At 52.7% G+C, this 24,178-nt stretch overlaps 1 protein-coding gene across 2 annotated transcripts in view, besides 5 other annotated features; it reads left to right on the forward strand.

The window, feature by feature from the left end:
- Positions 4,212-4,381: an enhancer, noted in NCBI's record as "active region_18962". NCBI's record gives its function as "activates an Ori minimal core promoter by ATAC-STARR-seq in GM12878 lymphoblastoid cells {active_cell/tissue: GM12878}" and the evidence as "EXISTENCE:reporter gene assay evidence [ECO:0000049][PMID:35858748]".
- Positions 11,996-12,045: an enhancer, noted in NCBI's record as "active region_18963". NCBI's record gives its function as "activates an Ori minimal core promoter by ATAC-STARR-seq in GM12878 lymphoblastoid cells {active_cell/tissue: GM12878}" and the evidence as "EXISTENCE:reporter gene assay evidence [ECO:0000049][PMID:35858748]".
- Positions 12,237-24,178, forward strand: part of CYTH4 (cytohesin 4) — a 32,834-nt gene continuing 20,892 nt past the window's right edge. Inside the window, exons 1-2 of one of the 2 annotated variants that reach the window (NM_001318024.2) lie at positions 12,237-12,317; positions 22,331-22,432. Coding sequence is in view for 1 of the 2 variants with exons in the window: in NM_013385.5 (NP_037517.1) it covers positions 12,299-12,317; positions 22,350-22,432 (102 nt within the window). In the remaining variant the exon portion in view is untranslated. The remainder of the gene's footprint in view (positions 12,318-22,330; positions 22,433-24,178) is intronic. The other variant, NM_013385.5, reaches the window with a different exon arrangement.
- Positions 13,592-13,641: an enhancer, noted in NCBI's record as "active region_18964". NCBI's record gives its function as "activates an Ori minimal core promoter by ATAC-STARR-seq in GM12878 lymphoblastoid cells {active_cell/tissue: GM12878}" and the evidence as "EXISTENCE:reporter gene assay evidence [ECO:0000049][PMID:35858748]".
- Positions 14,254-14,363: an enhancer, noted in NCBI's record as "active region_18965". NCBI's record gives its function as "activates an Ori minimal core promoter by ATAC-STARR-seq in GM12878 lymphoblastoid cells {active_cell/tissue: GM12878}" and the evidence as "EXISTENCE:reporter gene assay evidence [ECO:0000049][PMID:35858748]".
- Positions 14,594-14,713: a silencer, noted in NCBI's record as "silent region_13684". NCBI's record gives its function as "represses an Ori minimal core promoter by ATAC-STARR-seq in GM12878 lymphoblastoid cells {active_cell/tissue: GM12878}" and the evidence as "EXISTENCE:reporter gene assay evidence [ECO:0000049][PMID:35858748]".

Raw genomic sequence — 24,178 nt, forward strand, 5'->3', positions numbered from 1 at the left:
ATCCTGCAATCCCACTCCTGGGTATATGTCCAAAGGAAAGAAAATCAGCATGTTGAAGAGATGTCTGTACTCCCATGTTTATTGTGTCATTATTCACAATAGCCAAGATATGGGAGCAACCTAAGTGTCTATCAGTGGATGAATAGATAAAGAAAATGTGATACATATACACAGTGGAATATTACTCAGCCATAAAAAATAATGAAATATCATCATTTGCAACAACACGGATGAGCCTGGAGGACATTATGTTAGTGAATTAAGTCAGGCGCAGGAAGACAAATTGTCTCTCATATGTAGGAGCTAAAAAGTCAATCTCACAGAGGCAGAGAGTAGAATGGAGGTCACCAGAGGATAGAAAGGGGATCGGGGAGCAGAGGGGAGGAAGAGATTGGTTAACAAGTACAAAATGACAGCCGGATAGGAGGAATGATCTCTATCGTTCTATAACACAGCAGGAAGTCTATAGCGGACGATTTTTGTATATTTCAAAATAGTTAGATGGGAAGATTTTGAAAATAGCTAGTGTTCCCCCAACACCAAGAAATGACACATGTTTGAGCCTTCAGATATTAACACCCCAGCCGACCTCAAGAAGAGCAGAGACCGGCTCTCCCAGGGGGACCCTGCCTAGACTGCGGATTCGTGAGCAAAATCAATGCTGTTTAAATCCACTAAGACGTTTCAAAGTCATTTGTTATGGAGCAGAACAGATAGGTATTCCATAAATATATGTTGAATGAATAAGGGAATAAACATTTCAGGGAAGACAGAGAAAGGAGAGGCTGCAGGGGAGACTGATGGGGGTGAGGAGGGTAGAGGGAATCAGAGAGTGAGAGTGAGTGACCTGAGGGCACACAGCAGGCTGGCGGCCAAAATTTTAAGTGTGGTGTCCCATGATGGATATCTTTATTCTGCCTTTCTTCCTTCCCTCCTCCTTTCCTTTTATATTGAGAATCTCCATCTCCCACATACACAAAAAGCTAGGAATACAAAAGTAGAAGATCAAGACCAATGAGAAAAGCAGAGGGAAATATGCCAAATGATGAGTTGTTGCTGATGAGATTCGGATTGGCCTGAGCTTCCTGGCAGCTGGGGCAAAAAGGGAAACAGGATACATTACTCAGTTCTCCTTACTGGAAAAGGAGAAGCATGTCAGTTTCTTAGCGAGATGGGTTTTCTTAACACCATGCCAGGCGAAAGCTCTTACGTGCTCTGCTGTAAGAGGCACTGGGTGACATCATGCCCTCAACAGCAAGCAAAGAAGTGGCTTCCTTGTTACTTAAAAGAACTTCTTCGCTGAAGGCCGAAGCCCAGAGCATGTCCTGACATCTTTACAGAACCTGGAGGACAGCATGGCCCTTACTGGGGTCACAGGCATCTGAGAGCATGTTTGAAATAATGATTCCAGGTCCCTCCATCGGAGAGACAGACTCAGAACTTGGGAGTCTATATCTTAACAGATACCCCAGGTGAGGCTGGTGTGTATCCAGGTTTGAGTTTCCCTCCCTAAGATCATCTTTCCTAAATCTCAAGAAAACACAGCCAGCCCCTGTCTTCTGCCTTTGCTCCCTCTGATCTTCCCAAGCTGCTGAGACATTCCACGGTATCCGCATTTTACAGATGGAAAGGCTGAGCCTGACTGATGCTGCTGCAGCTCACGGGTGGAGGCACTGAGGTTCAAAGCCAGGGTGACTCATTGGAATCCAAGGAGCTGCTGGCTGACACCAGAAAGAAGCTAGTCCTCCCAGCACTTTGGGAGGCTGAGGCGGACAGATTACCTGAGGTCAGGAGTTCGAGACCAGCCTGGCCAACATGGTGAAACCCCACCTCTACTAAAAATACAAAAAAATTAGCTGTGCATGGTGGCGCATGCCTATAATCCCAGCTCCCGGGGAGGCTAAGGCAGGGGAATCGCTTGAACCCGGGAGGTGGAGGTTGCAGTGAACCGAGATTTCGCCATACTCAGGATTTTGCCTTCTGGAGTGTAAAGTCAGACAGGGGCACTTCATGTGACACACATCAGCCCTTCACAAACACGACCCAGCCTCATTCCTTCAAGAAGCGTGTTTTGACCATCTATTGTGTGCCAGGTTGTTGTAAGTGCTGGAGATGCAGCAGGAAGCCAGACCAGCCCAGTGTACTAACTAGATGTAATATATTAACTGTATTTTCTTACTTTCTATATTCTTGAGGCTCCGGCATCTGGGACCTCGTGACTAAGAATTAGCACCTCTCCCAGGGTTAGCTAATTCCTAGAGAGAGAAAATGACTTTCACATGCAAACCAACCAATTCTGAGGTGCCCCTGTCTAGCTTTACACTCCAGAAGGCAAAATCCGGAGCATCTTTTCTTTTCTTTTTTTTTTTTTCCATTCTGTTGCCGAGGCTGGAGTGCAGTGGTGAAATCTCAGCTCACTGCGACCTCTGCCTCCCAGGTTCAAGTGATTCCCCTGTCTCGGCCTCCCACGTAGCTGGGATTACAGGAACACACCACCACGCACAGCTAAATTTTTTGTATTTTTAGTAGAGACGGGTTTCACCATGTTGGCCAGGTTGGTCTCGAACTCCTGACCACAGGCAATCCACCCACCTCGGCCTCCCAAAATGCTGGGATTACAGGCGTCAGCCACCACACCCAACCCTGAGTATCTTTCAAAATACCCAGCCCTGGCCCCAGCACAGTGGCTCACGCCTGTAATCCCAGCACTTTCGGAGACAAAGCAGGAGGATCCTTTGAGCCCAGGGTTTAGAGACCAGCCTGGACAACATGGCAAGACCCCTGTCTCTACAAAAAAAAAAAAAAATTAGGCATGGTGGCATGTGACTGTAGTCCTACTACTTGGGAGGCTGAGGTGGGAGGATCGCTTGAGCCTGGGAGGTCAAGGCTGCAGTGAGCTGTGTTTGCTCCACTGCACTCCAGCCTGGGCAACAGAGCTAGACCTTGTCTCAAAGAAACACAAAACACAAAATCATCCAGCCCTGCCCTCAGAGCCCACAGAAGTGTTTCGGCCACTCAGTTTTCAAAGCAGGAGGACCCGGGGAGCCCCAGCGCTGCCCTGGGGTGGGGTTGGTTCTGGAGGGTGTCCAGCAAGTAGCCCTGGCCTCCCCCACGCCCCAGGGCCCATAAATGTGGACGTAGAAGCCAAAGACACAAGAACACAATGGCAGAAATGGGGACAGAGGGACCCAGCGATCACGTGTAACCGGAGATCCTGTGTGAATCCATTTGGTTGGAGCTCTACAATTATACTTTCGGGCAAAAAATGAGACTCCGTGGTAGACTGAAGCGGACACGGGTTTAACTACTGATTTCAATCTTTTAAAGGACTCCCACAGACACTGAAGGAGTGGGCTCCGAAAGAGCTAGAACTCACGTCCCAGAAAGATGAGTCAGCCTTAACCATGACCACTCAGAAGTCACAACCAAACTCTGGGCTGGAGCCCTGGCCTGCCACTGAGGACTCCCTGAACCTCAGTTTCCTGGTCTGTCAAATGGGAAACAGTCACCTTCAGATGACAGGATTGCAGGTTCCAGCCTTACCCTCCCCGTGGGGAGAGGGTCCTCCGGACTTTCCTCTTAGCCTGCCGTCCTCTCCCGTGCCCTGCTCTCCTCCTCCTCCTCTCTACTCAGAAACACCTCGGGCCTCTTGCAGCTTGACTTAAGTCAAGTTGCTTCTTTCCCGAAAACACCCTCTTCAACCCACCCCCTCGGGCTGCAGCGGATCCCACCTCTCCCAGCCCTCGTCCCTGCCCCACCTCACACCCTCCACTTCCTCCCCTCCTTTCCTCCCCACCGCTCACCCCCAGCCCCTTGCTGACCCCATGGACATTGGAGACCTCCACCTCCCAGCAGCCAGGGATATGGCCAGTCACTTCCTGGAAGGCCCTCATCTGGGAGCCTCTGACCACACCTGGGTTCCTTCATCCATCCCTCTGCTGCTCCCCCTTATTCCCATGATGGCCCCTCCAGGATCTCACAGGCTGGTCCCTTCATTCCCACCAGCAGCCCCCTCCTCCCCACCTCCCACCTCGATGCTGCCAATGCCAGGGGCTATGTTCCCAGGATCCCTTGCATCCAGGTGTGAGCATGGACCCACCCTGGCCACAGGGGCTGAGCGCAGCCAGGGTAGGCATGGTCAAGTCAGGATGTGACACCTGAGACTGCAGCAGCCATCTGTGACCTCAGGGAGGAGTGACACAGAGAGAGGCTGCCCCTGGTTTGTCTGGAACCTCCATCCATCCCACCCCATGACACACCTCCTGGGCCCGCAGGAGACCTTGGGCTTCCTCCAGGCCCCTACCGCAGTGACTTTGGCGCGGGGCAGAACCCAGGGCCCCTCTTCGTGCACGTGATACGCATGCATGCACTGGACCTGCAAGTGTGTTTTCCTGTCCCTAGCAGAAAAGGGCCCAGTCCCAAAACTACAGCTGCCTGGTTGGAAAGGGGAAGTGGGAGTCAGGGAGCAGCTGAGTCGAGGGTAGAGGCCCAGGGGCGTGGGGGAGAGGGAGAAACCCAAAGCAGAACTAGACCAGCCTCGTGCCCAGCGCCTCTGCATTCCCTCTCAAGCCACCCAGCCCTTACATTTGGCTGTTCCTACAGCCAGGGACACCGTCTCCTCACCTTCTCCCTCAAAAAGTCCTGTTTGACCTTCAATAGTGTCAAACTACTGATTTCAATCCTCAGACCAAACAGTCAAGACTCCAGATGAGCATTCATGCTCACTGAATGGGTTAAGAGCCCCTCTGTGCCCTGGGCTTATCGCAGAGCATGGGTGCTGGCTGTTTAATTTTCTGTCCCCAGCACCCAGCTGTCAGCCTGGCTCAGAGTCTGTGCTCAGAACTCGTAGCCATCTACGAGGTATGAGGTATGAGATAATCTCACCTAAAATTGTCCCTCCATTTGAAATCCCAGCACTTGATTCCCCCGCTTGGGTTGAAGTGCCCATAGATGCAGGATGCACACCATCTCCAGACGGCAGGACCAGGTGCTCAGACATCCGCGTGTGTGGCACACCTGTCACTCGAAGCTGGGCTATGTCCTTCCTGGCTTGCTTTTGCAATCCCTTCATCTACACAGGAGAGGAGGCCTGACTACATTCGCTTTGCAGACAGGGACACAGACGCAGAGGTAAAGTCGCAAATCCCACACTGGTAATGTTGGGATTTGAACCCAAGTCCAGGGGTTCTCAGGCAAGAGGGAGGTCACCTACGTGGGACACCGTTAAGGAGAAACGGAGAAGGCAGCTTTGGCCCCCACCCTGCTCAGCCTCTGCTAGGCGTCAAGGCTGGTGTGTGTTAACATGCGGAGACTGACATTCTGGGCTCCCGCAAGCACCCTGAATGTGGCCACCACCCTGTCCACCTTCTCTCCCCACGCTCCTCCCAACCCCTTTTCCCACAGCTCCTACCCTCTCTTTTGTTGTTGGTGGTGATGAATAAAATGTCTAAATACCAAGAAGATTCAAATCACCGTAAATCCTACAACACAGGGACAGTGACTGTCACCACATTGGTGACTGTCCTTTCCAGATAAGATCTTTCATCATCTGCTTACCTGGGAGGCAGTGAGTGGGCGAGCCACGAACCACATCCAGCCCATGGCGTTGGCCTCCACCATGTTCTCCAGCTCAGCATTTTGCCATTTTGTCAAACTACTTGAGGATGAATCTCACACAAAAGCAGATGAATGCAGCCATGCTTGGAAAACAGAGAAACCAGCCATCCTGTACTCTTGTCTCTCCATGGTGGCAGTCAGCTGGGGCCAGGACCAGCTGCCCACTTCATATGGGACAAGCCACTCCATTTTGCTACAGTCCCCACCGTTCCCCGCTGTGTCCCTAAGTGGGCCCACTCCCCTCATTTGCTTATTGTCTCACCCTTCAGGGCATTCAAGCTGGCAACCCCTGCTCTAGGCCTCTCCAACCGCTAACATCGATCAAAAACTGACGACAGACCGAGCGCCACTCCAACACACTTGACACAGCTTGACTCAGAGATCCCGTCACCAATGATATGAGGCAAGCACCCTTATTATGCCTATTTTACAGATGAAGAAACTGAGGCTCAGGGAGGTGAAGTCAATCACCTAAGACCATGGTAAGAAAGTGGCAAGGCTGGAATTTGAGCCCAGACCGTCTGGATCCCGAGTCTGGGCTCCCGATCCCCAGGCTACATGAAAACACACAAACTCACAGTTCTATGTCGAGGATAACTTTCCATGTTTATCAATATAACCTAGGATCAAAAATAGCAAGAGGGGGCCAGGTGCGATGGCTCATGCTTGTAATTCTAGCACGTTGGGAGGCTGAAGCGGGCTGATCACTTGAGGCCAGGAGTTCAAGACTAGCCTGACCAACATGGTGAAACCCTGTCTCTACTAAAAAAAAATACAAAAAGTTATCTGAGCATGGTGGTGTGTGCCTGTAGTCCCAGCTACTCGGGAGGCTGAGGCATGAGCATCATTTGAGCCTGGGAATCAGAAGTTGCAGTGAGCTGCCACTGCACTCCAGCCTGGGAGACAGAGAAAGACTCTGTCTCAATAAATAAATACATAGCAAGAGTGAATGTTGTTTTTATCTGCCTAGCTTTCCTTTTTTTAGAGAAATGCCCCTCACCTTGTGGCTCTGGTGGGCCTGTCCATCCCCTCTCACCTCCCTTCTGGCCACATGGCTGGGCACATAACCCAGGCCTGACCCATCATGCTGTTTCTCCCACGCTGTTGCAATGATTGTTCCAGGGGTGGGGCACATGACCCAGGCCTAGCCAATCACAGTCTTTTCCTGGGAAATTTCTCTTTGGTAAGCCCTCTCTCTGAAATCAAAGATGATTTGATGTGAGCCTGGAACTGAGAGACAGAGAGGGAGGGAGAGAATTAACAAGGACACTTAAGAGTCTCGGGTAGGCTGGGCACGGTGGTTCACGCCTGTAATCCCAGCACTTTGGGAGGCCAAGGAGGGCAGATCACGAGGTCAGGAGTTCCAGCCTGGCCAACATGGTGAAAGCCCATCTCTACTAAAAATACAAAAAAAAAAAAAAATTAGCCAGGCGTGGTTGCAGGTGCTTGTAATCCCAGCTACTTGGGAGGCTGAGGCAGGAGAATGACTTGAACCCTGGAGGCGGAGATTGCAGTGAGCCAAGACCGCACCACTGCACTCCAACCTGGGCAACAGAGTGAGACTCCATCTTAAAAAATAAAAATAAAAAAGAGTCTCTGCTATCTCTATCCCCAAGGCCAACCCCGTTCCAGACTGTTGAGAGACTGAGCCGCTCAGTTCCCATTTAAGCTGGTCTGAGTTAACATTACATACAACTGGAAGTAGATGCTTGAATCCTACATCGTAATTCTTCTCTTTCATGACTCGCACTGACCCATCATCCAGACACGGTACAATTTTTTTAACCATTCGCTCTCCGATGAGCCTTTGAGCTCTTCCCCAAATTCTCTGTTATCAGTGGTGCTAGGAGGAGCCTCTGCGTTACGGGCAAGTTCTAGAACTTGAACATCAGCATGTGCCCCACTGCCCTTGACCCCCATCCCTGCCTATGGCTTACTGGGTCGCAGGCCCTCCTTCCTGGATCCAGCTTCCTTCTCTCCCATTGCCCGTGCTCTTGGTCACTGGATGAGGAGTGACAGGTCTGGGGGAAATCAGGCACATCTAGAGAGATCTGTGCTCTGGAAACCCTACTCACAGCTCAGGTTCACAGGCAGACCTTCAGCAGTTTCAGGATGCTCCACTATGAGAGCCTCCAGGACGCTGTCTCCAGTTCTGAATCCTTGAGGAAAAAATCAGAAATCAGAGAAAATGAGAAAGGGGAAGGACTGCAGAGAGGATTCACTCCCCCAACACACACCTTGCCCACCACCTGCCACCTCCCATCTGGCCTAGTGACTCAACCATGTGCCCCATGAGGGCAGGACGTTTGTCTGTGCCAATGCCAGGAACAGTGCACGGCTCATAGCAGGCCTTCAATAAACATCAAAGGAATAAATAAATGAATGGATGGATGGATGGATGGATGGATGGATGGGCACTCTGACTGTGCAGCCAAAATGGGCTTAAGGGCAGATTCTGCTTCTAACTCACTCTGTTAAGTCCCTTCCCTCTCCCAGCCTCCGTTTCCCATCTGTAAGATGAGGCCATGGAATCAGACCTCCTCTAAGCTTCTTCCATCTCTCTCGCCCTTGGGCCATTGGCATCACGTGAGGAATTCTGAGCTTTTGGACAAACAGAAGATGTTACCCAGATGGTTTTGCTATTATTTGATTCAGATGCTAGACCCTTCCTATCTCTCCCTCAAAGGAAGTGCAGGGAGTGGGGAGGGCAGGTCGGTGAACTTCTGAAATGTTTAAAGTGACGCTTGTACAAGCTGAGTGTGGGGATCTGAAGTCAGACAGTTCAGGGCTTGAATCTGAACTTTGCTTTCTCCTGGCTGCGTGACCTTGGGCAAGTGATTTAACCTCTCTGAACTCAGTTCCCTCATCTATGAAAGAGGGGTTGTAATAATGTAATTTGTTGAATGGTGGAAAGGGTTAAATGAGATGACAAGCACTTAGCACAGTGTCTGGCACTCCATAGCAGGCACTCCAGAAATAGCAGTGATGGTTTTTTTAGGACCTCCCAGATCTCGTGTTTGGAGACTCTCATTTGTTGTCCCAGAACCAACTGCGGATCCCCTGCCTGGTACACAGGTGGGAACCAGAGCCTGATGTAGCGCAGAAGGACTGATCTCAGGCCAGAAAGTTTTAAGGGGATTCCTTCCCGTTTTCATCCTTCCTCCTACCTGGAATTTAGACATGATAGCTGGAGATCAAGCAGCCACTTTGGACCATGAAGAGAATTTGAGGACAGCAGCCGAAAGTTAGAAGGATCCTGGATCCATGCCCAGGCTGCTACAGGGCAGCCATGTGTTGCCCACTTCAGGTTTCTTTCTTGTAAGAGATCAATAAACCTCTAGTTTCTTTAAACCATTATTATTATTTGGGTTTTCTGTTTCATGTAGGCAAACCTAACCTGAACTGTCTCCATTTTGTAGATGATTTTAAATGATTAAAAATGAGGCTCGGAGGGGAAGGAAGAAGATCACACAGCTCACAAGAGCTGAGTCAGGATTCAAATCCAGTTCTCTGTGACTCCCCTGGGTCCAGCTTCCTGCTCTCCTCATTGCCTGTGCTATTGGTTCCCAGCAAATCTTGCAGCCAAACCTGGACAAGGAGTGACGGAGAAAATGATGAAGTCAGTTCTGCTAAACTCTTTGCTGCTCACAGTGAAAGAGTCCCTCCCTCCCAGGCTGTCTGCATATAAGCCGTTAAACATGACCAGCGTTGTGGGAAAGAGGGAGGGGAGGTGTCATCACAACGGACCTCACAGAGGAGGTGGTATTTGAGGTATGTCTTAGAGAATAAGACAGTAACAATAGCTGAACCACACAACCGTGACCATCCATCAGACAAAAGGGAAGTGTCAGATGCCAAACCGTGGCCTGGTCAAGACACATTTACTGGATCAGCCGCAAGATCAGGCAGCCTTCCCCAAGGCCATCCCAGGTTCAGTGGTTTACTAGGTGGACTCCCAGGACTCAGCTCATGGTCATACTTACGGCTATGATCTATGGCAGTGAAAGGACTCAAAGCAGAATCCGCAAAGGCGCCGTGGCGAAGTCCAGAGGAAACCAGGGGCAGCTTCCAAGAGTCTGCTCCCAAAAGAGTCACACGGGACACGCTCAATTCCTCCAGCAACAAGTCGTGAAAGCACCTGTGAGATGGGATGCTGCCAGGGACGCTAGGCAAATAGGTTAGGCCCAGTAAGCCACTCTCATCAGTTAGGGTGGTGGGAGCCCTCCCCAAATCCAAGCTCCCAGGTGCCAGCCAAGGGTCAACTTTGCAAGCATGACTTTCTAAAGATAGCAGTCTCCGGCCTGCAGTGTGAAGTCTTTCTGCACAGGGAATTATATATACCTTTCTCCATATTTCTAGGGGTTATTTTGTTTGTTTTGTTTTTTCTTTTGTTTTGTTTTTGGAGACGGAGTCTCACTCTGTTGCCAGGCTGGAGTGCAGTGGCGCGATCTCAGCTCACTGCAACCTCCGACTCTCTGGTTCAAGTGATTCTCCCGCTTCAGCCTCCCAAGTAGCTGGCATTATAGGCACCCGCCACCATGCCCAGCTAATTTTTGTATTTTTAGTATAGACGGGGTTTCACCACGTTGGCCAGGATGGTCTTGATCTCCTGACCTTGTGATCCACCCGCCTCGGCCTCCCAAAGTGCTGGGATTACAGGCATGAGCCACTATGCCCAGCCCACATTTCTAGTTTTAAAATGGCCAAGGGCATGGTTTGTGGTGCCTCAGGCCCAAAGCAGTTGAGAAAAATCTAGTTTACCATGGAAATAATTGTAACAAGTTTTCCAGAAAAGAACCATGAGTTATACAAGAACCCAGGTGGAGGCAGGGCAGGGGAGAAGCAGCGGGGTTCAAAAATCCTGAGCACACTAGACGGGGACTTAGTAGGCCTGGCTTCTGGGCCTGAATTGGCACTCACTCAAGTTCCAACTTGGTCAAGTGTTTCCCAGAAATAAGCCTCAGTTTTCTCTCCGAGGAAATGACAGCATTGGATTTCTTCTGTATCAGCAAGCTTTGGCTGCATAACAAAGCATCCCAGAAGTTGGTGGCTTAAACCACAAAAATGTATTATTTCCCACAGTGCTATGGGTCAGCAGTTTGGGTGGGACTCCGCTTGATGGTTCTTCTTCTGGTGTCCCCTGGCCTCACTGATGAGGCAGCAACCAGGGGACAGCCAAGACAGCCCAGCCTATCTCCTTGTGGTCCTCCGTCTTCCAACAGGCTAGCCCAGGCTTGTTCTCATGGTAGCCAGGCAGGGGGCTGAGAGCAAGAGCAGGAGCTGCAAGGCCTTTTAAAGCTCAGCCTCGAACATCACGGCACATCATTTCTGCCACGTGCTATTGGTCAAAGAGATGCCCAAGGCCAGCTCAGCTTCCAAGGAAGGAGAAATGGACTTCGCCCCTTGACAGCAGAAGCGGCGGCATAGTGAAAAGGAGGTGAACTTGTAGCTAGCTTTCACATCGGCCGTGATCTCTTCCATGTTCCCTTCATTCATTCATTCATTCATTCATTTGTTCATTCATTCCACACTTGCACACCCTCTATGTCCCCAGCATTTTACCACACACCAGAACACAAAAGGTAACCTTGCCCTCATGGGGCCTGGAGAGTAATGGGGAAACAGATGAATAACTCTGCATGTGTCCTGAAGTTATAGGGAATTCACATTTAATTTATACCTGTTTCTTTACAGCAAAGCTTTTTGCAGAAAGGATTTGAACCAACCTGCCAGAAAAGGCACAAGGAATAACATGATACATTTTAACCAAAGAAGATAATTAAAATCAAAGGAGAAAGTGTTTATTGAGCACCTACTATGTCCCAAGCATCTCCGACACATCCTCTCACTCCATGGTTTCCATATCCCCGAGTTAGTGTTATTCCCCTTTCAGAGATAAGCAAAGCGAGGCTGACTAGCCCTAGCTGAGAGTCAAACAGCTGAGTCAGGCCCCAAAGTTCACATGACATCATAGAATAGCTGTCGATGAGCTTTGGATTTGACGATGAGTTTCCCAGCAGCCTGGGGGAGAAGGAAAGTGGAACATATTACCCGATTGTTCACTAGACAAGAAAAAGCCAGATATTTCTTTGAAGGGAAGCAAAGCCCTTCCTAGCAGTGAATTCATTTGTCTCTTCTCAAGTGGGAGTTGGAAGAGAGCTTGTGGGGTGGAACACAGGGGGCCCTGCTAGGACTGTCCAAGTTGGGCGCTCCTATGGCATATATGTGAGGAGGCTGCCACGTGAATGCCCATGGTCCCCTGGAAAATGTTCGTCCTCAGTGAACATCGCCCTCGGTGTCTGTGCATGTGTACGTGTGTATGTGCATATGTGTCTGTGTGTTTCTTTCTGTCTCACTGTCTTTCTCTTTTTTATCTGGCCCTCCCCTCACTTCATCTGTTTGTTTGTTTGTTTGTTTGTTTGTTTCCACCTCTGTCCCTCCCTGGCAAAAGTCCCTGCTGCTCAAAACTCTGCCAGTTTTTAGGAAGTGCTGTTTTGTCAAAAGCCTGCACACGAGACCCCCGTGGGCCAGGACTGACTTCCTCCCCACACAGGGCTGGGCGGGGCAAGCAGGAAGGAGCCTGTTACAGTCAAGGTGACGCATCCTTGCCGGGCCAGCCCGAACAGCAGCTGGGTCGGCAAGCGACAGGAGCACGGGTCATCTTTTCCCCAGAGGCGTCGGAATGGACCTGTGCCACCCAGGTAAGCAACTGCCGTCAACCTCTCTGGGCCTCAGGGTGCTCTCTTTTAGAATGGGACAGCAGCCCCTGCCTCACAGGGTCCTAGATAAAGGAATACAGCGCAGGTGGGAAATGCAGCTGCAAGAAGCAAACATTTGTGGGCTCAGCCTGTGTGTCCAGTTGCGTTCTAGGGGCTGGACACACAGCAGTAGCAAAGCAGACGCTGTTTCCCCCTTCATAGGCTTGTGCTCTAGATGAGGAGACCGGCAGTGACTCTAATGTGATTCCATATGTCAGTTGATGGCAGGTAGGATGAAGAACAGTAAAGCAGGGTAAGGAAGACAGGAATGCATGGTGGAAAAGGCCCCAAGAGGAGATGCTGTCTGATGAGGGACCTGAGGAAGATGTCAGCTAAGGGGCTTTCTAAGGAACAAACATTCCAGCCAGAAGGAACAGCCAGTCCAAAGGCTCAGAGGTGGACTCAGAAAAGTGACTTGCGATTAAGATGATGATGGGATGTTGGTGATGGCGATGCTTGTCTGGGTGATACAAGGGCCTTGAGGCCCCTTTTTGGCCCCCGGGGGTTGGGGTGGTCTTTGGGGAGGCTGAGGACGCTGCCTAGAGCCAGGGGAGGGCCAGGAGTGAGCAACAGAGGCTCTGGTTGAAACCCTCCCCAGCTACTAAGACAATGTGTCTGGGGAGAAAGAGGAGAAAGGAGGCTGCAAAGATGGTGAGGAAAAGAACATCAGGGTCGTGTTTTGGGAGGCAAATTGAAGGCCCGGTAGAGGGGCCAAGTTTCTGCACCCTGGATGTCAGCATGCTCCAGAGCTGCAACAGTTCTGGTGAACACGGCTGCTGGAATTCCAGAACCTAAGGGCTCGTGGGAGCTGTCTGCTCCCCAGGTCCAGATGACCTCAGCCTTGTCCAGGAGCACCCTTGCTTCAAACGCACCTAATGTGGAGCAGCCTGGCCCCGCCCACTGGGCATCCCCCTTCCTCCCCACCCCCAGATGGAAGCCTCGGGCCCCAGGGAACCCAGAGAACCACTGATCCATTTCAACAGCCCCCCCAGTGGCAGAAGGGAGAAAAGAGGCCAAGGGAGGAAAACAGCCTCTCTAAGGCAGGAGCAGGACCAAATCCTGTTCCCTGAATCCCTATCCAGGGCTCACTCTGACCCCTGCCTCTCCCATGGGCTTTGGGGGCTCCCAAAATCACAGCTCAGTGAGCACAGCTTGGGGGCACCTGGTTGGCACAGGGAGACCCAGCGAAGGGCAGCACCTGGCTCAGGCCTCTCAGCAGACATGAGGGTGGGATGAGGGGGGGAGGGCACCCACCGAGATGCAACCCCCCTGCCTGTGTGTCCAGCAGGGCGCTTTGTCCTTTCGGGTCCTAACATACTGAGGTTACAGGGATGGCTGTCTCCATGTTGCAGATAAGGAAACTGAGGCTCCCAGAGGTGAACTAGAGACGGGGACTGACTTGCTTGAGGTCACACGGCCAGTCAGCAGCAGAGCAGGGACGAGAACCTGCGGGAGAGAGCCCCAGGTTGGCCGGGGCTATGGAGAGGGCAGGGGAGGGGAGTCTCTGCTTTGCTTCAGCCGGTACTAGGGAGGAAATGGATTAAATGGGGTCAATGGGTTCTCCATCGAGTAGTTGGTCTTTTCATTCATTCACTCTACAAACGACCTTCCAGTGTGCTATGCAGTGCTGGGGACAGCAGTGACCCAGCCATGGGCCTAACCCTGGGGGACAGGTGTTGGTCTGGAATGTTGGGGGTGGGGTGGAGAGGCAGGAGCCACATCCTGCAGGACCCTGACCCAGCTGTGCAAATGGACACAGACCTACAGATGGGAGGAAGCAACTTTTCCCACTGGGGCAGAGGAGATCTGGGAAGACCTCCTTGAGGAGGAGGCCAGAGGGAGGGAGAAAAGGTCATTTCCCTGTTGCCCAGACTGGGTCTTAAATGGGGCTTCTTCATGGCACGGTGACTTCCCCTCTCTGAGTTCTGATTTGTCATCTCTACGTGGGTGCCATCATCCTGGCCTGGCCTGGGGAAGCGGGGATTGGGAGTTAGCCGGACCTCGCTCAGGTTCCAGCTCTGCACCACCCTGCCAGTGGTCATGGTCTCTTCCTTCTATGGGCCTCAGTTTTCTCACCTTTATTATGGACAGGCTGGTGACTCAGGGGCCCCCAGGGCTGCCTCCCCTCCTCTCCTGAGGTGGGCCTGTGTCGGGAAGCAGGTAAGGCGCCCTCCCCCAGGGCCTGCCGGGAAGGTGAGAGGGCCAGACAGCAAAGCCCCAGTGTGGCCAAAGACAAGCACTGTGCTGGTGCAGAGAAGACAGGCAGCGCAGTTAAAAATAGAGCCAGCTCGGCTGGGGCGGTGGGGGGGCGGCGGGGGAGGAAGCCGCACTCCGCAGAGCCTGTGGGGCTTGTGGGGCTGGGGCGGGGAGCAGCTCCACCCACACCCCCTCTGCCCCAGGGTCCCTCCTACTGAGACTTTGAGGGGCCTCTTTATTTAGGGCCCTGAGATGGCATCCTCCTCCTGCCCTGGAAAGGGGAAGTGAGGCCAGCTGTCCTGGAAGCAGGGCTGCAAGCTCAAAGATTTCTAAAAATACGATGGGAAAGAGGAAGGACAAAGAGGAAGTGGGGAGGAGCCGGGGAGATGGGCACATTCACCAGCCTGGGCGCAAGGGCAGCACCAGCCTGTGGGCTTGGGGTGGGGGTTCATGTCACACCTTGTGAGGTTGTGAGAAGCACAGAGATAAGTGAGAAGGAAACGGGGTGTGTGGTGGTGGTGGTGGTGGTGGTAATTTTATTATTTGTGTGTATTATTATTAGTATTTAAAAATTCATCTCCTGGCCAGGCATGGTGGCTCACATCTATAATCCCAGCACTTTGGGAGGCCAAGGCAGGTGGATCACCAGAGGTCAGGAGATCGAGACCAACCTGGCCAACATGGTGAAACCCCCGTCTCTACTAAAAATACAAAAAAAAATTAGCCGGGCCTGGTGGTGGGCGCCTGTAATCCCAGCTACTTGGGAGGCTGAGGCAGGAGAATCACTTGAACCTGGGAGGTGGAGGTTGCAGTGAGCCGAGATCAGGCCACTGCACTCCAGCCTGGGTAACAGACAGAGACATCGTCTCAAACAAACAAACAAACAAACAAAAAAACATATCCCATGAGCCTACACCGGTGCCTGAAACTCTGAAATGGGGAGGAATCTCCTCTTTTTAACAAATAGAGGAAGGGTCAGTAGGCTCCGTGTGCACCATGTAAGACACAGCAAGCCCGGGGCCATCATCACCCTCATGTGGGTTCAGATGCTTTGACCAGTTGCCACCTATTCGGGACAGGACCCCCGTCAGAAGGGGACAGGGGACTGAGGATTCACGAACACACTTGTCAACCAGAAGGGAGTATGAAAGGAGCTGTATGCAGTAAAAATACAAGCAACCTGCTCACTATTCCCATGCAATCCCACTCCCCTGGGAACCGTGCCTCAGTTTCCCCAGCTCTGCAAAGTTGGCTTTGCAGGGGTTGGGTGGGGGCAACTGCAGGCATCATTCTGCATCTTGCCTTTATTCTGAAACGTGTAACCCCGTCAGAAACCCAGATTTAGCGTCCGACGGGTGTTTGATGGTTCGTATGGAGAGATCAGCCTTCGGAAGATCAACATCAGGGCTGTAAGCCTCCGAGCCCCAGATGGACCCAGATGTGAATCCCAGCTCTGCCACCCTCCAGCTGTGTCACCTTTGGCAGGACACTTCACGTCTCTGAGTCTCAGGGGCCTCACCTGTAGGATGAGCTTAGAAGTACCTTTCCTTTCGGAGTGGTTGTGGGATTCAATGAGAGTGGATGGGAAGAGCCTGGATCACACAGGGCCTGGCGCACCATGGGTGCTCAGCCACCATGCCTTCCTTAACCAACGGCGTGGCTTGGTTATTGAGCCATGCAGATCCCAGAAACGCTGTGGGGAATGGGAAGGGGTGGGGGCAGGGATGGCTCCTAGATGGAACCCAGGAGGACCCCTGAAAAGGGATCTGAAGTAGGAGATAAGGAGGGGCTGCTGGCAGAGAGGAGAAGGAAGGGCGTTCTGGGTACAAGGAATGGTGGTGCAAAGGCTTTTGGAAGGCTAGAGCTCAGGGGAGTGAATGAAGGGCAGCCAGGGAGGCAGAGCACGGAGCTGGGACGGGGAGGGGCACAGTGTGAGAGGAGCATGGAGGGGATACACCAGCAGGACTGGTGAGATTTGGGGTCTTTGTCCCCAGGACAATGGGATGCCATGGGAAACTGGACCAGAATGGGTAGAAGAGGCAGGGAGGCATCCGAAAGCCCTGAAGTCCCCCTGAGCAAAGCGATAGCGGCTGGGATGACAGTGGAGCCATGGAAGGGGAAAGAAATAGACAGGACTTGGTGATGGAGGAGACCCAAGGGGTGACAGCCAGGTGGGAGTCAGAGTGCCTCCTGGGGAAATGTGGACCATTTCCAGAGCTCAGGAATTCAGGAAGAGGATGGGGAGGAGGGGGCATTCTAGAAGTTCAATTTTGGGCACAATGACAAGAGCGGTGGTGACCAATACATAGGGGATGGTTGGATCTGAAGCTCAGAGAAGGGGCTGGAACAGAGGATGTGTGAATGATTCCCTGGACCCTGAAGGCAGGTGGGAGCCAGGAGCTGATGAAGCCCCATGGGGACCAGGAAGGTCGGCCTAGGAGGAGCTTCAGGAGCCCCATCACTCAATTCTGGCCATCCACACCTTGGAGCATCTGTAGGAATGCTGGAGCCCACCCTGGCTTCTCTCAGACAAGCAGCCAGTCTGGAATCCACTCAGCCTCCTCCAGCAGGTGCGCCCTGGGCAGAAACACAACCCCAAGCCAACAGGAAAACTGTATAAAGCCAACAAACAAAACAAAACAGAATCGGATTGTTCACCTCCAAGGCAACCCAAGGTGATTGGTTTTTTCCCATGGATGAGACCAACGGCCTCCCCGCCAGCTCCTGCCGGAAGAGTTCCGGAGCCAGCTTCCAGCACTGCCTCCCCGGCTGTCCCTGCTCTGCATCTCCACACAGGTGGCCCCTTACACCTTCCATCCCTGCATGTCCCAAGCAGTTTGGGAATCCACCTCTCCTGGGGCAGAGGCGTGGGGGTCAGCAAACAAGGGTGCAGTTCCCAGCACTGCCACTTCCTGTGAATGAGACCTGGGGCGAGTCACTTCGCCTTCCTAAGCCTCAGTGTCTCAAACTGGAAAATACCTACTTCAAAGAGGGTTAAATGACAGCAGTTATACAGAGACTGGCATGGAGTAGGTGTTTGTGCGCTTAACGGGTCATAAGACTCTTGCTTTGTCCCCTGGTATAAGTGTCCCCGCCAACTCCCTCCTGGAAACAGTACCTCTAGACCTGCAGAGACAGAAAGAAACTCCAGAGTGGGCCGGGCACAGTGGCTCACACCTGTAATCCCAGGACTTTGGGAGGCCAAGGCAGGTGGATCACCTGAGGTCAGGAGTTCGAGACCAGCCTGGCCAACATAGTGAAACCCCCGTCTCTATTAAAAATACAGAAATTGGCCCAGTGCGGTGGCTCACGCCTGTAATCTCAGCACTTTGGGAGGCCAAAGTGGGCAGATTGTGAGGTCAAGAGATCAAGACCATCCTGGCCAACATGGTGAAACCCATCTCTACTAAAAATACAGAGATTGGCTGGGCATGGTGGCTCATGTCTGTGGTCCCAGCTGCTCAGGAGGCTGAGACAGGAGAGTCCCTTGAGCCCGGGAGGCAGAGGTTGCAGTGAGCAAAGGTCGTGCCACTGCACTCCAGCCTGGTGACAGAGTGAGACTCTGTCTCAAAAAAATAAATACATAAATAAAAAATTAGCCGGGCATGGTGGTGCATGCCTGTGATCCCAGCTACTGGGGAGGCTGAGGCAGGAGAATCGCTTGAACCTGGGAGGCAGAGGTTGCAGTGAGCCAAGATCATGTCACTGCACTCCAACCTGGGTGACAGAGCAAGACTGTCTCAAAAAAAAAAAAAGGAAACTCCAGAGTGGGTCACTAGGAGAATGGCAGGTGGGGCCACTCCCACTCCTACCCCTCAGCTCGTAGACCCTTGTGGTCCACCTGCTGGAGACAGAGCACCACACAGTGGTGGTAGATTTAGGGCATATGGTGCCTCCTGGAGGATGGCGCCCCATCCAAGTGGATATCACCTCCAGGCTGACACCTCAGCTGTACCTTCTCAAGACCGCCCCATGGCTCCATTCCATCCGGCCAGCACCTTCCGATGAAATGCTAGAGAGGATCGGTGGATCTCATGGCCACGTGCTCACTTCAGACCACCTTTGCTGTAGAGAGCATCCCTTGGTCTTCTGTGATGTTATGTGGTGTGCTGTGTTGGTGGGTCAAACACCCTAAGCCTCTGGATAGTGGTGCTGGCTGAGGCTCTGTGGGCAGGAAAGGCAAACACATTTCCAACACGTGTCGACTCCAGACAAGATGGATTGTTGACTTTTGCAGAATAGAAGGGGTTTCATGGAATCAGTTTGCCCCCTGGTCTTCTGGAGAAAAGATGGGCTCAGCATGCGTCCCTGTTGCTGGCAGAGTGGACATTCCGCTCCCACGGGGTCATCCACCTGCCTCTTCTCCTGACATCTGTGTTTCTGATCTTCCCATCTTCCTTCTTTCTTGCCTCTGACCAAGAAGTCAAGCCATTCACCACTGCCCATGATGCATGGATATTCTGACTTCAAGAAGTCACTTCTCTTTCCACAGGAAGTGGATGGCCAGGTGCCCTGCCTGAAGCCCTGCCCCCTGGGAGGACTTGCCCTCATCACTGTCTTTCCAGGACACCTTTGAGCAGGACTGTAGTTCAGTAGCTGCCTGGTTTTCACTTGCGCCCAAACTCTGAGCCAACTCATTCTGCAACCAGCCTTGGGCATTTTCCTCTGTTGTTAGAAAGTCATAAGGGACCCACCCATGTGGTCACGGTGTAAGCAGAGGGATAGACCCTGGTCCACCAGCAGCGGTGACATGAGGATCTGGGCCACCTATCCCTGGAGCCTACTGGAGCCCTCTGGCTCTGCTCACACCTGCTCCTGGACGTACCACTCACAAAGGGTTACTATTGGGCTCGCTTGACCTTCTGACTTAGTGGGACAGATGGAGCCATCTGAGCTACTTAGTTACATGATGTTCCGTGGGCTGGCACTCTATCTCTACCAGGACCCGGTGCCATTCCAGGAACTGTTTTCTGCATAGTATATAATTCTCTGCTAGAAGGAAGCAGCTGGAAGGAGCAGGCCATCCTCCCGACCGGGGAAGTGCTTGGGTATGTGATGAGGGCCATTGCTCCTGCATCCGTTAGGTCTCAAGAGTGGCACCCACACCTGCCATTCCCCTCAGGATATAGTTTTTTATTTAGTCTCTTCGCTGTGGGGATGATGGGTCAGCTTCATAAATTTCCAAATAGCTATTCCCACTACAATGATCCTGACCCCATGGGCCAAGGTACCAATATGGGCTCAAGTACCAGCGATGTCCATTCCAATTCTACATCTGTAGGCCAGGAAAGTGGCCATGAATCAAGCAGACCCCTAGTGAGCTGGACCTGGAAGGACTTCATTTACCACCTGGTCTCTATGTACCCCCACTCAAATGTGGCCCTGAAGACACTTCAGTCTTGAGCGCTGATGTCAACTTGGATCCTGTGTCCAACAATCCTCAGAATGTTTGGATATTGCTCTTTCCCCAGTGTACAGTTGTTGGAGTGAATGGCCACAGGTGTTTTAATGTGGAACCAGGGAGTCATTGCCATATATACTTGCCACAATGTTGCAGGACTCTTCCCTTGGAACCCAGCCTCTCCTTCAGTCCCGACGTTCTGTATCTGAAAACTGGGGTAGGTCCTGAAACCAGGCAAGGGGTCTTGGGTTTTTTTGTTTGTTTTGTTTTGTTTTGTTTTGGAGACAGAGTCTCACTCTGTTGCCCAGGCTGGAGTGCAGTGGCATGATCTGGGCTCCCTGCAAGCTCCGCCTCCCAGGTTCACGCCATTCTCCTGCCTCAGCCTCCTCCGGTGTACCTGGGACTACAGGTGCCCACCACCATGCCTGGCTAATTTTTTGTATTTTTAGTAGAGATGGGGTTTCACTGTGTTATCCAGGATGGTCTCGATCTCCTGACCTCGTGACCCGCCCGCCTCGGCCTCCCAAAGTGCTGGGATTAGAGGCGTGAGCCACCTTGCCTGACCGGGACTTGGCTTTTTATTGCAGTGGCTGCCCTTGGTCAGGGGAACTCCTGGGCGTGGCACCTCCCTTTGGCTGAGGCTAGTGTCTGGGGAGGGATTCAGCTGTGAGCCATCAGCAGGCTTTCCTCCCAGCAGCTGGGGGGATGGTGCCTTGGTCCTGAAGAGAAGAGCCAGATGCACACAGCACCCATTGCACACATGTGGGACTCAGCATATGTTGGATTCTTGCTGGGTGTTTGACAAAGTGTAGCTCTTTCCTTCCTGACAGCTGCCCTGTGAGGCAAGGGTTATGGTTCACATTTCACAGATGAGGATGCTGTATTAGGTATATCTCAGATTTAGCTGCTTAAAGAGACTCAGAATAACAGCAACCGAAACATTCTCAAAACTGATTTATTTCTTATTGAAAAGTCCAAATGGATAGGTGGGCCAGGTGAACATGATGAGTCTTCTCCACACCGCTGCCTGGGGACCTGGGCTCCATCTAGCCTGGTGCCCTGCATCTCCGCATGGGGCTTTAATCTCAACAGCCACAATGCCTGCTTAATCATGAGAAGGAGAAGTAGGGAAAGGGAGCGCTCAACATTCCCTCTGTGTTCTTTTGGAGGAAATGATGTCTATCCTTGTAAAACCTTTAAGAAATGCGGCCAGGCACTTCCCGACGCTGGAACTTGAAGGTCAGCGAGGATTTGGGCAGGCAGACAGGAGAAGGCATCCCAGAGTACAGGAGCGGCCTGGGCAAACATGGGGAAGTGGGACTGAGTCCTGGATGGCTCTGGAGCAGGAAGGAGCTGGCAGGCTGGACTGGCAGGCTCTTTTTGGGAATGGCAGGGAATAAGTCTGGCTGCCAAGGCTGGAGAGGTTGTGGAGGCCCCAGGCCCAGGATGAAGACTTTCTCTCTGAGTAATAGGGAGGCCATATTACTCAGAGAAGGAGAGTGTTGTGGATGAAACAGAAGCCACCATGAAGCATGAAGATAGGACAGCTGACCTAGTTGTGGGCATCATCACAGCACCTTGCATAGAATGCCGCACACACAAATCTTATTTCATTTAATTCATTTCCAAGTGGAGATGAAAGAGCACAGGCTTTGGAGTCAGCCCAATTCAAGGTCCCATCCTGGCTCAGTGACCTTTTCCCTGTGGGTTGAGTCACCTCACCTCTCTGAGCCCCAGTATCCAGGGGCAGGGACTATAAAATATCCCCCAAATCCAGCCTCCCCATTTTACACAGTAAGGACATCAGGACCACCCTGCTACAGGCTCATTTCCCAGCCTCCCTTGCAGCTAGGTGTGGCCACGTGACTACATTCTGGCCAATGGGATGTGAGGAAAATGGTATACCACTTCTTGGTTGTTCAAATAAATAAGTGAATAAATAATGAGCCCATGAGCCAGTGGAGGAGGAGATTCAAGTTCCGGGGAAGGAATGCGTGCCTTCAGCGAGTGTTTAACTGAGTGCTTATGACATGTCAGACTCTTTCTAGGTGCTGGGGACACAGTAGTGAGCAAAAGAGTAGAACAACTGAACTCTCATGGAGCCGAGAGTCTAGCGGGAGGGACAGAAAAGATGCAAGGAAACAGGATCCTTTTGGGGGTGTCTATCCAGGGGGGTGGGAGAAACAGGAAGCAGGGCAGGAGAGGAGGGAGCAGGGGCTGCTTTAGACAGGGCAGTCAGGGGAGGCTTCCTGGAGGAGGTGGGCCTCTGTGAATAGGGCAAGTCCTGGGTTTCCGGAGGGAAGGGGGCCCTGCAGAAGTGAGGGCAAGTGGGTGTGGCTGGAGCCAAGTGATGGGGAAGGCCGGTTGTCTCTCTGTAGAGCCCGCGGAGCTGAGCAGCGGGGAGACGGAAGAGTTACAGAGGATCAAGTGGCACCGAAAGCAGCTCCTGGAGGACATCCAGGTGAGTGCACACTCGTGTCCACACACGTGTCCATGCCCACACTCCTGCACGCTTGTACGCACCCCACCAGCTCCTGACCCAGCCTGGTCAACAGACAGTGTGGCCAACTCTGGCTCATATCAGCCTCGGCCCCAGCCCCAGGAGCAGGGAGAACAACAAGACTGCAGACACCCCGAGACCCAGGGAGAACTGGGAGAGCCGGGGAGGGAGGCAGCGATCCAATTAGGCGCCCACCGTGTGCCGATCCTCATCCTGGCCTTTACTTGCTTTGTCACAGGGCAGGCTCTGACCCCTGTGGTGAAGCTTCAGCCAGGTCTCACCCCTGCAGAGTGTAGACCACCTGGTCAAGATAACTCCCAGTATGTGCCCTGCACTTACCACTTCACCAATCAGACTCAGACGTCAGCTCATCTGGGTCAGCAGCTTCTGAGACAGGCTGGGTTCTGTTCCTGGAACGTGCCTTGCTCAGCACTGCCCCTGGGCCTTTGCACTCGCAGTCCCCTCTGCCTGGGCTGCAGTGGCTGTGCCCACCCCCACTCCCATGCACATAAACTTAGGATTTCAGTGAGGAAATGAAGGCACAAAATTATTCACTCAGCTGCTGTTTCATTGAGCACCTACTATATGCCAGGATTTCTCTACCTTGCTCTGATGGTGTTCTGCATAGTCATTCCAATTACCCTATGACCACCCATGATCCCAGCCCCACCAGACTGTGCCCTCCATGAACACAGAGCCGAGGTCTGTCTTGCCCACCACTGCATCCCCAGCCCGCTGGGTGCAGCATTAATAGGTGCTCAGTTAATACTTGCAAATGAATCCCCATTGTATTTGTGGGGCAACCACTCAGTGGCTCTGCCAAGATGGCATGAACAGGAGCTGACACGGCTCAGACACAGGCTCCCAAGTCCCATGCTGGCCCTGAGTCTCAGGACAAGTCCCTGGAACCAGCCCCTCACCAGCACCCTGCAGATCCTGGGGAGAAAGGGGCTGGGTGCCTAATGGGGGTGCCGGCCAGAGGCTCATGCTGGTGTCCTTCAGGGGGTGCTGGTGGTTGGCAGGGGGAGGTGTTAGGGGGTCCCCTCTGCCACTGGGTGCCTCCTGCAGGGTCAAGATGAAATGGGCTTGGGGTCGAGTTGGGGGAAGCACAGGTTTGGAGTCAGACTGCGGGCGTGTCGTGTCATCTCTCTACGCCTCAGTGTCCTCTTCTGTAAAGTCCAGGGGAATTGCAAAGTCCCTGGAAAGAGGGCCTAGGCTGCCTGTGCGTGGTGTCCCCGTAGTACCTGGCAGGCACATAGCGGGCACTTAGTCAAGGGTGAGCAACATAGTAAATGGAGGAAAGCCAGAGAGAAGCTGAGGAAGCAGTAGGGAGCCATGGGAGGGGTTTGAGCAGGGGAAGGGCAGGCTCCATGCAGTGCTCCAGAAAGACACCAGCCGGGAGAGGCAGGCAGGGTGGAGGCGGGCAGGGTGGAGGTGGGCTGGGGGAGGTGGGCAGGGTGGAGGCGGGCGGGGGGTGCAGGCAGGGTGGAGGTGGGCAGGGTGGAGGCGGGCAGGGTGGAGGTGGGCTGGGGGAGGTGGGCAGTGGGGAGGCCGGCTTGTCGGGTAGGCTCGGCTAGAGTGCAGGAGACTTCATGGCTGCAGAGAGGAGAGATGGGAAGGTTGGAAAAAGGATGGGCAAGGGATGGGGGCTTGGGGAATCCCACTCCCCAAGACAAGTGGAGGCATGGGTGCAGACAGAGGTGATAG

Source organism: Homo sapiens, chromosome 22 (genome assembly GCF_000001405.40).
Source record: "Homo sapiens chromosome 22, GRCh38.p14 Primary Assembly".
Lineage (NCBI taxonomy): Eukaryota > Metazoa > Chordata > Mammalia > Primates > Hominidae > Homo > Homo sapiens.